The sequence below is a fragment of the Homo sapiens genome, chromosome 7 (assembly GCF_000001405.40).
Source record: "Homo sapiens chromosome 7, GRCh38.p14 Primary Assembly".
NCBI lineage: Eukaryota > Metazoa > Chordata > Mammalia > Primates > Hominidae > Homo > Homo sapiens.
The window spans coordinates 7,931,875-7,945,999 of NC_000007.14; the positions used below are offsets into that span (position 1 = coordinate 7,931,875).

General features: G+C 38.4%; 2 annotated features.

The window, feature by feature from the left end:
* Positions 12,920 to 13,129: an enhancer, noted in NCBI's record as "active region_25651". NCBI's record gives its function as "activates an Ori minimal core promoter by ATAC-STARR-seq in GM12878 lymphoblastoid cells {active_cell/tissue: GM12878}" and the evidence as "EXISTENCE:reporter gene assay evidence [ECO:0000049][PMID:35858748]".
* Positions 13,340 to 13,389: a silencer, noted in NCBI's record as "silent region_17965". NCBI's record gives its function as "represses an Ori minimal core promoter by ATAC-STARR-seq in GM12878 lymphoblastoid cells {active_cell/tissue: GM12878}" and the evidence as "EXISTENCE:reporter gene assay evidence [ECO:0000049][PMID:35858748]".

Here is a 14,125-nt window from a genome sequence, read left to right on the forward strand (position 1 = left end):
GTCATCCCACTCTAGGGACCTTGGAGTATTGTGTGTTGGAAAGCATGTATTAAGCACTTGCTGTAGCTGCTTCTGGAATACAGTATGTGGAATAATAGCTGAATCCTCCTAACAATGCAACTTTCAGAGAATTGCAACTGATGAGAAACCAGCCTTGCTTATCCTGTAGCAGATTTAGCTTTGGAAAGTATACTTAAAATTCTCCAACTGCTAGATCTAGACAGAGACGGTAAAATCTCAGTAAACTTATTCTGGCAGCTTGTTACATGGTAACTAACAAAGAACACCCAAAATAGTGGGCAGAAATCACTGAACAATGTAAAAATCAGAGTAGTGGTTAATGTATTACCATGAACTGAGACTGGGGAACCCTCTGTTCTCCATCAAATGCCTACCCAGCTTTCTAACTTATTTTGAGCTAAATTTGGGCTGATAAAAATGATTCTATTCTCTACTACCAATATTTTGGAAAATTATTTCCAATAATGTGGAAACGACAGAAATAAGATTGCCCTGTAAAATCAAGACTAGCATTGATGAAAAATAGGTATTCAGCATCTTAAGAAACAGAATATTTCCAATTTAAGAACATTTACAATATTAAATATTCTATATTGAGATATTTAATGGTAGAAGTTGAAGAAGACTAAAAAGTTCAGATACCTTCTTTGACAGATGTGGATATCAAGACCCAGAAAGGTTACATGATTTAGTCAAGGACCCATAGCCAGTTATGAGCTAATCCAGTTACAACCCAAGTCTCTCAGGTCCTAGTCTAATGTTTTCTCATTATAACACCCTCCTTCTACATGAAATCTTCTGATAAGTTGGTGTCCTTAGTGACCTGGCTACTGTAGCTGAGTCATAAATTACCCCATAACTCAATGATGTAACACAACCATTTAGTATGCTCACTGAGTCTGTGCATTACAGATTTCGCACAGGGCACTGTAGCGCTGGCTTGGCCCTGGTCTTCGCTCCAAGGCTGAGGGCTGGGATTATTTGAAGGCTCATTCACATGTCTGCTAGTTGACCCATCTTGGAAGTCACACAGCATGACTTCCACTCTATTCCTTTTTTGTTGAGGCAATCATAAAGGTCCACCCTAGTACAAGGGGATAGACGCCACTTCTTGATGGGAAGTAGCAAGATCCTCGAAGAGCATGTGAGACCAGAAATATTGCTGTGACTACTTTTGGAAATTACAATTTGCTACAATTAGGAATTAAAAGAATTCTTTGCAAGAAGAAAACTAGAGGGAGAAAAGAGGCAGAAGAACAATAACAAATCATACCTGCAGGCTGAGTGTACCTACTCCCATTTCTCTCCCTCTGGGGAACTTCGCAATCTGTGCTTACTGCAAATTGAATAGGAATAAAGCATTTTAACTCAACATGATTGAAGCTTTTATTTCATTTAACTGTCTAGTTTGGTGTGTTGGAAAGTATGTTTATAAGATATATCCCTAGCATAAAAGCCTTCACAATGAGGAAAAAGGGAGAAATTATTTTAATTGAAGAAATTATTTTTTTAAATAGCTTATATACTAGACTATAAAGAAAACATCAATAAATCTCTTAAAATATGAAGTGCACAGACATATTCTCTGACCACAGAATAATAAAACTACAAATAAAAGTACAAATCAGAACAAAACATTTCAACAAAAATTTCCCACCCACTTGAAAATAAAAAAATATACTTCTCCATATCTCTTGGGCATAAAGAGGGAAATATGATTGCAGTTACAGAATATATAGAAAATAAGAATGAGGACACTACAAAAGTCATGGGATGTGACACAAGTTAGATTTAAGTGGCATGTAAACCAGTGAGGAATGAATAAATGACAACACCAGCAGCAGCAATGGCTGACACTTCATGTGTTGGACACTTGGAGCTTTACACGTATAAATTCAGTTACTCCACACAACAACCTATAGGTAGACACTATTATGTTCATTCTCATTTTCCTCTGAGGAGGAAATTGATGTACAGAAGGAATGAGTGATTGGAGCAACACTGTGCAACTAGCCCCTATCATATGCCAGGCAGTGTCCAGGCACTAAGGTTGCCAAGATGACCCAGGCAGGCAAAGTCCATGCTCTTTGACAGCTCCCCATTACTGCTGGGCAGGGCGGGAATTCCTCTTCCCACTGGGCCTCCACAGATACCCTCCTGGCAGGGAGGGGTAGAAGTGCCTCATAACTCCTCTACATGAGGCCTCCACTGATACCAGGGTGAAGAGGTGGCCTCATTTCCACTGGGTCATGGTGAAAACCCTGAAGCTCCACCAGGCCTCCTCTAATGGCACCCCAGTTAGGGGTGGGAGTGGAAGTCCAAACTCCCTATGTGGTCTCTACTGGTACTGGGGAGGGGGATGGTGGAGGAAAGTGTGTGTCATTACTGCCTGGTGCTCCCTACTCAGCATTCTTTCACAGCACCTTGGACAGCATGTTGGGAGGACCTCAATGTAGCCTAGCAGAGGGTTACAGTCTAGGCTTCCTAGTAGGACTTGTTTAGCATAGATGGGAATAGGGCCACAGTTTTTTTTTTTTTTTGTCATTTTAGGAGTGGTTATTGTCTAAAAGTTTTCTGTTTTACTAGGCTGACCCTTTCCTGGTTCTTTGGCTTGACAGATCTTGCTTTTGTTGAGGCTTTTTTTTTTTTTTTTTTTTTTGGTTTCTGCCTGTTGGTGTTTGTGGCTTATTGTGGCTTACCAGCTTATTCAGCTCAAAGCCTGGGATATATGAGGCAAACAAACAAAAAGCACAGAGAACTATTACTATGTTGTTCCTCAGGTTCCAAATCCCCCATCTGGTCTGCCTTCTTCTCTCCACCTTTCAATGTTTCAATATTTCTTTTATATGTAATGCCAAGAGGTTTTCATTTGATTTAGCTGGAGGAATAGGGGAAAGTATGTCTATTACATCTTCCCAGAAGCAGAAGTCTCCTGTTTTGTTTTTTAAGAAAAAAAAAATCTGACAGCATGTGCTCATTCTCAGACCAAAAAGACAAACAGAATGACAGGGAGTTATATATAATGATAGGTAGAGGGGAAAAGTGGGATCCATGCACTCAAGCGTTTTTCACTTTTGCATTTGTCACTTTTTTGACAGTTCATCAAAGTTACAAGAAGGAAAGCTAAGAATATACAGTACTACAGATTCAAGGAGTTTAGTGGATTTGGTGGTGGGTGAATGAGAAAGCTCTCCACTGTTGGATTCTATTGTCCCCAGTAGAATAGAAGGGAATCCACCAATTGAGAAAGGAGTCGCTCGGGGAAGGCTAGGGATTTGCAGAGAGGAAGGTGTGAATCAGTTGCTTTGAAAGGTGGTAGAATGAACTGATAGAGAAATAGAGTAGGATTGCTGAGCATACTGAAGCCACATACATTTCGAAGGAAATCAGTCAGCATAGTTGCTTGTTACCTTCCAGAACTAGGTACAGAGTAGGTGGGTAGATGTAGGTTTAATCAGTAGTTGTTGCCAGATTAAATATTAGAAGGGGAAAGGAATAAGGACATGGAAGGTGTGTGCAAGGGAGTGATTATGATGATGGAACACAGGATCAGTACCACAGCATGGCACAATTGCAGAAGGCACATTGCATTTTGCAACACAGTTACCCTGCATAGATTCTAATCTGGATAAAAATGAATTTAAGTTTAGGCGTGGTGGCTCAGGTTTGTAATCCCAGCACTTTGGGAGGTGGGAGAATCACTTGTGCTCAGAAGTTCGAGACCAGCTTGGGAAACATAGTGAGACCTCATCTCTACAAAAAATAAAAAACTTAGCCAGGTGTGGTGGTGCACATCTATAGTCTCAGCTACTCATGAGGCTACAGGCAGGAGGATCACTTGAGCCCAGGAAGTTGAGGCTGCAGTGAGCTGTAACTGTGCCACTGCACTCCAACCTGGGTGACAGAGCAAGACCCTGTCTCAAATAATAATAATAATAATAATAATTTTAAGATGAATTTGAGAAGGTGGACAGTGAACATGAACATATGAGGATGAATGGGTTGGCAGTCCTAATGGGGTTGAATAACTCTTAACATAGAACTGATAAATTAAAGGAACTCAAGGACAGGAGATGTTGGCCATAGGGTAGATATTTGAAATTTAGGAGGTGAAACAGATCTTGGAAATGAAAAGTTCTAGGGTATGAGAATGGGTAGCTGAAGTGGGGTGGATGGAAGACCATTGGCAAACTGGATACTCTTACCAACCCTCCTATTGAGAATAATTAAAAACAATGAATAAAATATAGAAATATGTTTTAAAATGCATCAATGAACTGGTAATAAAGTAAGGCCAAAACAACTCAAAGCAAGGCCCTAGCAAGATGACAGAGGCTCTAATGCTGGCTTCTGTACTGAGCAGTTTTGACAGATCCAGGGGATCTTGAGCTCCAGTTTTCACAGCCTTGTGAGATGTGGACAATAGGTCACAAAGCCTAGGTCCAGCCCAAAGAAGGTAGTCTAAAAGACAACATCCTACATAAAGCTCGAAAGGGTATACCAGAAACAAAATTGCCCCCACAGCAGACAACAAGAAAATTTGCTTATCTTAAAACTTGGCACTGGGTAAACAAGAAGGAAAATCTCCCCGAAAGTTTATAAGTACAAGCCAACCCTTATGTGTGAGTTTTGCTGCCTGAGTTTTACTACCTGGGTGGTCTGGAAAAACTTCAAGCTGAGAATTTAGTTTAAAGTGGCCCTCCTTCAGTAGTACCCATGGGCATCTGGCAGAAACAAATGCAAATCCTCTTTAAATGAACTCCCTTCAATCTAGGCTTCAAAGAATTCCCATAGAAATATGAATCCACAGTCAAGAAACAAAAGCACCGTGAATGATACCCAATACAAATAATAAGCTTCTGAATATCACCCACAAAAAACTTTAGTCAGGTACTAGAAAGATGATACAAAATTTATATACAATTTGTAAGGATTAGATAGGCAGAAAAGTTACATAGTCATCATTCGCAGATGATGATTTTTTTTGCATAGAAAATACAAAAGAATCTGCATACAAATTAGAATTAAGCCTTTTTAGCAAAATTGCTACTTATAATGTTAATAATTTAAAAATGAATTTATTTATAGCCACAAATAAAAACAGGTAACATTTACAATACTATAAACATATTAAATACCTAGGGATAAATTTAACAAAATATGTATAAGATCTGTACACAAAAAAATCATAAAATTATTGACAGAAATTAAAGGACGTTTAAATAAGTAGAAAGAAATACTATGTTTATGGATAGGAAGATTCAATATTGTAAAGTTTTCACTTTTGTTGTAATTGGCCCATATATTTAATTCAATTACACTCAAATCCCAACAAAGTGGGGTTTTTGGTTTTGTTTTGTTTTGTTTTTCTTTTCGAGGTTTTTTTTTTTTTTTTTTTGAAGGAGGACGGGTTGAAGAGTGGATAGTGGAACTTGGCAGGTTGCTTGTCAAATGTATCAGAGCTGGCTGATCAGAGCTGAAAATCAGCTGGGAAAGCATAGGCTTTAAATAGGTGATGCTGAAACAACTGGTTATTCCTATAGGAAAACTCAATTTGAACCCCTATCTCACACCACATGCCAAAAAATCTATTCTAGATGGATTAAAGACTTAACTTTAGGTAGAGCTTTAAAACTTTTGAAGGATAATATAAGAGAATGCCCTTTTCAATTAAAGGAAGGGAAGGGTTTCTGAAGCTAAATTGAAAAGCGCAGATAGTAAAGGAAATTATTAAAGTCAACCACATTAAAGTTAAGATCTTCTGTACATAAAGAGATACCTAAAGAGAGAAAAAGATGAGCCACAAACTGGGAGAGGGGATTTGCTATACCTTTGTGTCAAAGAATTAGCATCCAGACTACATAAAAACTGTAAGCCCATAAAAAAAATACAGCCTAATTTATTTTAAATGGGAAAAGGATTTAAATGGGCCTGTCACTGAAGAGAAAACACAAATGGTGAACAAACATACGAAAATATGCTCAACTTCATTTGTAATCAGGGAAATGCAAATTAAAACCACAATGGCATATTATTTCAATCCCATTAGTTTGACAAAAGTTTTAAAATGTCAAATAACAAGAATGAGAAAAGATGTGGAACCACTGAGTTCTTATACACTGTTAATGAGACTGTAAATTTTTTCAACCATTTTGGAAGAAAATTTGCCATTATCTAAAAGGTTGAAAATGTGCATGCCTTTGATCCAGTAATTTCGCTTTTGATATTTGGCCAAGAGAAATTCTTATACGCAATGTACTGTGATACAGGTACAAGGATGTTCATAGTAGCATTACTTGTAATAGCAAAATCTATTCATTAACAGGAGAATAGATTTAAAATATGGTATATTCATATAATTGAATACTATATAACAGTAAAAATGGATACACTGTAGCTATGGGCAACAACATGGATGCATCTCAGGAATACATTGAGTGGAAAAAGCAAGTCACCGAACGATCTATGCAGTAAAATTTCAATTTATATAGTTTGAAACCATGCAAAATCACATATTATATATGTTCAGGCATATGTGCGTATGGAGACAAAAGTGACTCCATCTTGGATGCTAATCAACCATGTTGACTTCTGATTAGCCCCAGTCCCATGAATGCCTCCTGATTTCTGTTTTAGTTACTGTCCTTAGTGTAAAAACATGTACTCCTACTTTTAGATCAAAGCAACCTTGATGTTATCGCACAAATTATAGGCTGTGACGCACATAGCATTCTCACCTGTTCTGGAGGGTTGCCTTTCATTGTCTTGCTGGAGCACGTATACCTTTTCCCTGTGGTATAAAGCTGTGGTTCTGAGGATTAACAATGCGAAGATCTGCTTGTCTTGTGGCCACCCAAGACCACGCTTCTGTTTGTAAGTTCTCTTAATAAATCAGCCAATACTGACAAGCTGGATTTATTTGCCTCCTTCTTTGGTTTCTCGGCTCCTTTGGCATTTGGGGGCCACTTGGCATATATGGCCCTTTCATGGAAAAATATGCATGTGGTAAAATACAAACAAAATAAAGGGAATGATGAGCAAAGAAGGATGAGATTGGAGAGGGACGCATAGAGGATTAGATGTGGTGTTTCTTAGGATAGTGGCTACAAAAGTGATCACTGTATAGTTTTTAAAAACACTTAAACATTCATTTTATAAATATTTTTGTATATATTTAATATTTAATAAAAATAAAATTCCAAAGATCTTTGGGGTTGAGGAGGTAAGAGAGGTTTATCACAGCATTATTTCACGCTGGAAATTGGGAAACAGCAAAGGTCACATAAGAGACTGTTTAAATAAATTAAGGTGCGTCTATACAATGGAAGAGCATGCAGCAATGACAGATGATGTGTTAGAAATGTACGTACTGATAGGAAGGATATTCCTGGTAGAGCAGGTGAAAGAAGAAGATTATAGAACAACATTGTATCTCATTTGTATAAGGAACATGTAAAAATACACATAGATAAGAGTATTAAAAGTGACGCCTATAATCCCAGCATCTTGGGAGGTCGAGGTGGGAGGATTGCTTGAGGCTGGGAGGTCAAGGCTGCAGTTAACTATGATTGTGCCACTGCACTGCAGCCTGGGCAACAGACTGAGACTCTGTCTCAGGAAAAAAAAAAAGTGTTTAGTAGGTACAACGGAAAGTTAACAATGTTGGGATCTGGGAGTTGATGTTAGGATTTATTTAATTTATTTTCTTAATTTCTCCTAGTTTTCCACCACAGACATTATTACTGTTATATCAAAACCATGTCAGAGAAAGAATAACAAAGAATGTCTAAGAAAAATCAGACAGAAGAATGTAAATATAAAATATTTGGAAATGACCTTCACAAAATATGCTTCTTATTCTCTTCTTAGAGCTAAAAAAAGACTTGATGATAAGTAGATGTGTGTGTGTGTGTGTGTGTGTGTGTGTGTGTGTGTGAAGTTTCTGGCTAAATATAATGAAGTTAAACTCTTCCCAATTTAATTTGTAGGATTAAAACAATCCCAAACAAAATCCCAGTGGATTTTTTTAATTGATAAAATGTTTCTAAGGCTCATCTGGAAGAATAAATAGACTATTAATAATATAATTCTGAAAATTAAGAAATAAGAAGTTAGACTTGCTCAAAACGATATTGAAATGTATGAAAGTGACAACCCTTTCCACAATGATAGTTAAATAGGAAGCTCTTAAACATCGAATAGAAAGTGCTTAGGCATCTCTTTGTACTTTTAAAAACAGTATATGATGAAGTAATTGTAACAGAGAAAGTGATGAATTATTTAGTAAATGATGTTGGAATAATGGCTAAAGAAGGATAAATTTTCACCTTAAACTGTATTCTGAAATAAATTCTAGATAAGTTAAAGAAATATAAAAAATTAAAAGCATTATAAACTACAAGGGAACACAGAAAATATGTAACAGATTCCGGATGTCATTTAAGTCACTAAATCCAATGACTGCAGCACCAGTTGATAGTCTTGACTGCAAACGCTTTTTTTATTCCCTTTGCTTCCTTTGGCTTTCATAACACTTCCCTAATTTTTCTCTTACCAGTTTGGCCACTACTTCTCCAGTGACTTTGCAGGATTATCCTCCTCTGGGGACCATTATATGTTTGAGTTTCTCTGGGCCCATCCCTTCTCTCCACTGTCTTCCAAGGATTCTCATCATGCCTATGGCTGTAGTTACCACCTCCTGTCAGGTGACTCTCAAACTCCAGCCTAACCATTTCCAACTTTTCAGTATTAGTCAGGATCCATGCAGGAAATGTATGGCACATTCAAAATGGGTAATTAAGAAGACTTTAGTTAAGAGATCATTTACAGAGGGTTTAGGGAAGGCAACAAAGGATAATGGTACAGTATCTCAGGGAACATTACTGCTTTAGGCCTAAACAAGGAAGCAGGTGGAAATGATTACTGAATGAGAGTGAGAGAGAGGAGGAGGTGGCAAAGGAGTGGTACAAGTAGGAAAAGGTGGGGAAGAGGGGCAGGAGAAGGAAGGGGAAGAGAGAATGCAGTATGGAGATAATATGGAATAAATAATCAGCCTCCACGCTCTGCCTTCAGTCTTCTGCTTCTACCTCCCATTGGCTGAACCTAACTAGAAGACAGAGAACACGGGAACCAGGTGCTAAGGTTACATGGGATGTTGATTCATTTCATACAGGTCAGTCTCTCTGGATACAGCAGAATAGAGAAGGGTGGAGAGTGGCTCTATGTGGGAAAGCAGAAGATATCCACCTAGCATTCACCTCCTACCTGGCTTCTTCTCCAGGACATCCCAAGAGCATTTCAAACTCAACGGGTCCACAATTGAGCTCATAAACTGCCCGCTGCATACCCTCTCCTCTCAAAAAACAAACTAACAAAAATCCAAACTGGTTCTTTGTCAGTGTTTTCCTTCTTTTTTGTTAACAAGTTTATTTTCTTGCATTTCTTATTTTAAAAATTTTACTGTATATATTTAAGGTGTACAACATGATGTTTCGATATACATATAGAAAGTAAAAAGGTTACTATAGTCAAGCAAATTCACATCCATTATCTCACATAATTACTTGTTTTTTGTGTGTGGCACCTGAAATCTACTCTTTTAGGGAAAATCTCAAGTACAATACAATATTATTTCATGGAGCCCTCCTGTTGCACATTAGATCTTCTAATGTTATCTTATGTCATCAAATGCTATCAATGTCAGGATTGAATTCTCATTACCATGGAATGGATTAAACTGGGGCAAGAGTAGGAGCAAATAGATCAATGAGGAGGCTGTTCCATTAGTGCAAGCAGAAATGATGATAGAATGGACTAAAGCAGTGTTGGTAAATATGAAGAGAAATGGACAGATTAAAGTGGATAGATTAAAGAGATATGTAGAAAGCAAAAGTAATAGGATTTGGGGGTTTGATAGAATTGGATGTTGGGGGTAAAGGTAATATGGTTGTCAAAGATGACACCATGGATTTTAGGAAGGAGGCAGCACTCTTTAACACGGACTTATTAACCCTGCATAGTCAGCTTCTCCCAGCTCCATCCCCCAACCTCTCAGCCTTTCCAGCTTCATCTTATACCAAGACCCTCTCAGGATCCGGTGGCGTTTACTTTCTTTTATCCCTCTTATTTCCTGTGCTTGTTCCTGAGCAGGACCTTTGCACCTATAGTTCCTACTACCTGTAATGCCCTTACCCAGCTACCTGACTCCTTTTCATCATTCATAGTTCAATCACCGTTTCCCCAGGGAAGCTTCCCCTGATTTCCTTAGTTAGTCCTAATTTTCCTATTAGAGCTCTCATATATTGTGTACCTTCTCTTTGTAGGATCTGTCCACTGGCAGCTCACACTTATTTGGGTGGCTTTTCAGTTTAATGTTTGCCTTACCCTCGGTCCCCCCACTAGGATATAAACTAGGATATAAGACAGGGACTGTATCTTTTTTGGCTCGCTTGTGTATTATAGCCTGGAACCCTGTGGTTGCTACGCACAGACACACACACACACACACACCTATTAGTGAATGAATAACAGTAAAAGCAATGGAATATATCACAAAGAAAAATACTGGTATATTTAATTACATTAAGACTATATTCTTCTCTGAATTAAATAAGACTACATAGCAAATAATGAACAAGTGATAAACTTGGAGACATAGTCATAATAAATAGACAACAAGATTACACCCTCAATAGAGTTCTTACCACATCAACAATAAAAACACTGATAATGCCTAATAGGAATTGGCAAAAACCAAATAAAAAACTCCAAAAATCCCATAAAGAGAAAGGGTTCTGACAGCTTCTCACTGTAAAAATTGGAAGCCCAAATCAAACTAACCTAAACACTAAGGAAATAATATATTTTTGCATGTAACCAGAAAGTCAGGTTGACTTCTCTGAGGTTCACAAGATAACACCCAGCAGCACGTGGGGACAATACGCTTTCCTGTTCACATTCATCAGAGGAGAAGTGGAACCTCTCTCTCTCTCTTTTTTTTTTTTTTTTTCTTGGCTCACTGCAACCTCTACCTCCTGGGTTCAAGCGATTCTCCTGCCTCAGCCTCCCGAGTAGCTGGAACTACAGGCACCCGCGACCACACTCGGCTAATTTTTGTGTTTTTGGTAGAGGCAGGCTGGTCTCAAACTCCTGACCTCAAATGATCCACCCACCTCGGCCTCCCAAAGTGCTGGGATTACAGGTGTGAACCACCACACCAGGCCGTAGAATCTCTTTTCTAGCAACAAAATACAAGTGCTTCTTCTCAGCCTTATTGACTCAGATTAGGACCAACCTGGATTAAATCTCTTGTCACAGGAATGCTATGTTTTGATTTTGAACCTTTCACTAGCCAAAGAGATTGGATTACTATGCTTGGTTCAATAGTAATCAGGACTCATTCCGAGAGCTGGGGTCAATTCCAGAAACTACATTGTTGTTGAGGAGTGAAACACGATGTCCACTGTAATTGGCCATAACCATAGGAAAGAAATGGTCAACTTTAGGATTGAGGGAGATAGAAGAAAATAAAGACAGCTGTGAGGCATCATTTTTCAACTCAAATTTAAAGCTGGCTTTTAAAATTACACCATTCACTGAAAATGGATTATAAATTGATTTAACTTTTCTGGAGGGCAATTTGGCAATATATGAAGCACCTTTAAAACATTTATGACAAATTTTGGAAAGTATACATATGTGTAGAAATAAGGAAACACAAAAATGTTCATGTGGCTGCCACTAAGTGGTAAGTTTATAGATGATTTTAATTTTCTTTTTAATATTTTCCATAGTTTTTAAAAACAGGCCTAATTACATTTATTTAAACACAAAGAACGTGAAGTAACCTGTTATTTAAGAACATGGACAAATTCCAGTCAAGAATATCCTCTAGAAGCTTGAGAGGTGGGAAAAGTAGTTTGGGGGATTTATTTGCTCTCTCAAGGTGATGAAAAGAAAAATATCTGAATCAAAGAGTCTGAGTTATGGAATTCTCTGCTTCTGGGGTTCTAGTGCAGCCCCGTTGGTCTGGAATTCAGGAAAAAAGATACAAGGCATAAAATCCCACAGAAAGTTACACAGTTGCAACAGAACATTTAGCATTTATTGCTTGTTCTTCTAATTAAACCTCTAATTCAACTCACTAGGCCCTTGCCTGCTAGCTTTAGTGAGTAAAGTTGAGACCATGTGACTGGACTTAGCTTGATTTAATGTCATGTTCATTGAGGAGAATGGTTGGACTTTTTTTTAAAAAACATGAGCATAGGAAATATCTGAAGTCACTTTTAACACTAGTCTGAACATGTAGGATAAAGGAATGTGTGTTACTGAATTGGGATTTCCAATAGATATTTAACCCAATGTGATTTGGTGATGATGTTCTTTCTTCAGATTTAATTTCATAATTTCCTCACTTATCTCAGACCACTCCCTCAGTTCGCTTTCTGCCTTAACTATCACCTCTAAGTAACATGGGATAAGTCACTTAACCTTTGCTGTATCCTTTCAAAAATAGGCCTCTGTCACGGAATTTCCTCTCTCTAAACATCTCTAAAGTTCTGTTGGTGTGAAGAATTAGTACGTCTCTTCTGGTTATATGAATTTAAGAAAGCATTTAGGTTAATGAGGGAAAATTGAATTTTAATGGTCCTCCCTTAAAAGGCTTTACAAAAGATTTTTTAGCTAGATGAGGTGGGAATATATATGCTAGCACCAGATTCCACTTATCAGTCATCCAGCAGTTACAGCAAGCCAGCAGCTCTGCCTGCGCCTGAGTTGGCCATGTATAGACAAGTGAGGACTGCAGAGGCAGGAAATATGGGGTTACGTTGATTTCCCTCTATTAGCAGCAGCTTAAACCGGCATGCTGGGCAGCACTGTCTCCTATTGGCTACAGCTGCTGAGAGCAGCAGGATGAGGGTTGACCTATATCTGTCAGGTGTAGGTCAAACCCTGAATTTTTGTTGCAAACTTCAGTCTTCTAGAACGCCAAGTTTCACTTGTGCTCAACCACATACAATATTTTTATCAGGATCTGTGATATACTCCACCTGCAAAGAGCTTGCATCTGTGGGTTTCCCTCTCTGGATTCTTTTGCTTTCTTTCTTGCTGCCTCTCCCTCCTGTCACCCTCTTACCATTTTTGTCCCCTGCTTCCGTGTCATCCTCTGGCTGAGAAGGGTTGAGATGGTCACAGCTGTGCTCCTTCTAGTAATCACAGTAACACCAGCCCTTCTCTGCCTGCCCCAGTTTCCATCTGACCAAGCTGTGCCCGTTCCTTTCAGTTGCAGTTATTGCCCCAGGTTGGCACAGCCTGTGCACATATGTGCTCCTCTGGGCCACCATGGTTTCGGAATGTGTCAGTTGCTAATTACAACTGCAGCTGTGCACAGAAATACAGCACACATTCAAAATGTGGGTCCTAAAGTTCCTACACAGTAAATATTTCTTGATAGTTTTAAGGCCATTTTTTTTCTTATTTTTTTTTTGTAAAGATAGACTTTTAAGTATTTAGACATGTATTTTTCTAGATGAGAGAATAAACTACTTGAATTTTCATTTATTCAGCCACCATCTAACTGTGACAAAGGTCCTTTCCCTCTGCCTTTGGTCTCAGTCAATATATGTATGTTGTTTTGGGACTTAATTGGTATTGTGTTTTTATTTATTTACACTGACATCACAATGTGAAACTTACCATAGTCAGTCCTGCCTTCATACTAAAGCATCAGTACACTGTGGGCTTCCACTTACAATGCAGAAACTGCATTCCATGACCCGTTATCATTTCTTCACTGAGGCCTTGTAGTAATAGTAAAGAAGCCCAAATGCTGGAAAAATTATTCTAGAACCTCAGGTCCCCATGCGTACAAACTACATCACAGTAATTTGAGATGGAAAAGACCTATTAAGTCATCCCACTGATTCTCTGAGGACCTGCGGTGTTTTTTCCCTCTCCAACAGGCTGATCTACTTTTTAATGGCTTTTCCAACTGTAAATGGCACAAGTGATGGGGTTTCCACCCTTCCCAAGGCTGTACAGCCTATAATAGATCTCTCCATTAGGGCCTGTGACTCGTTCAGCTGCCTAAATCATCTTTGTTTTG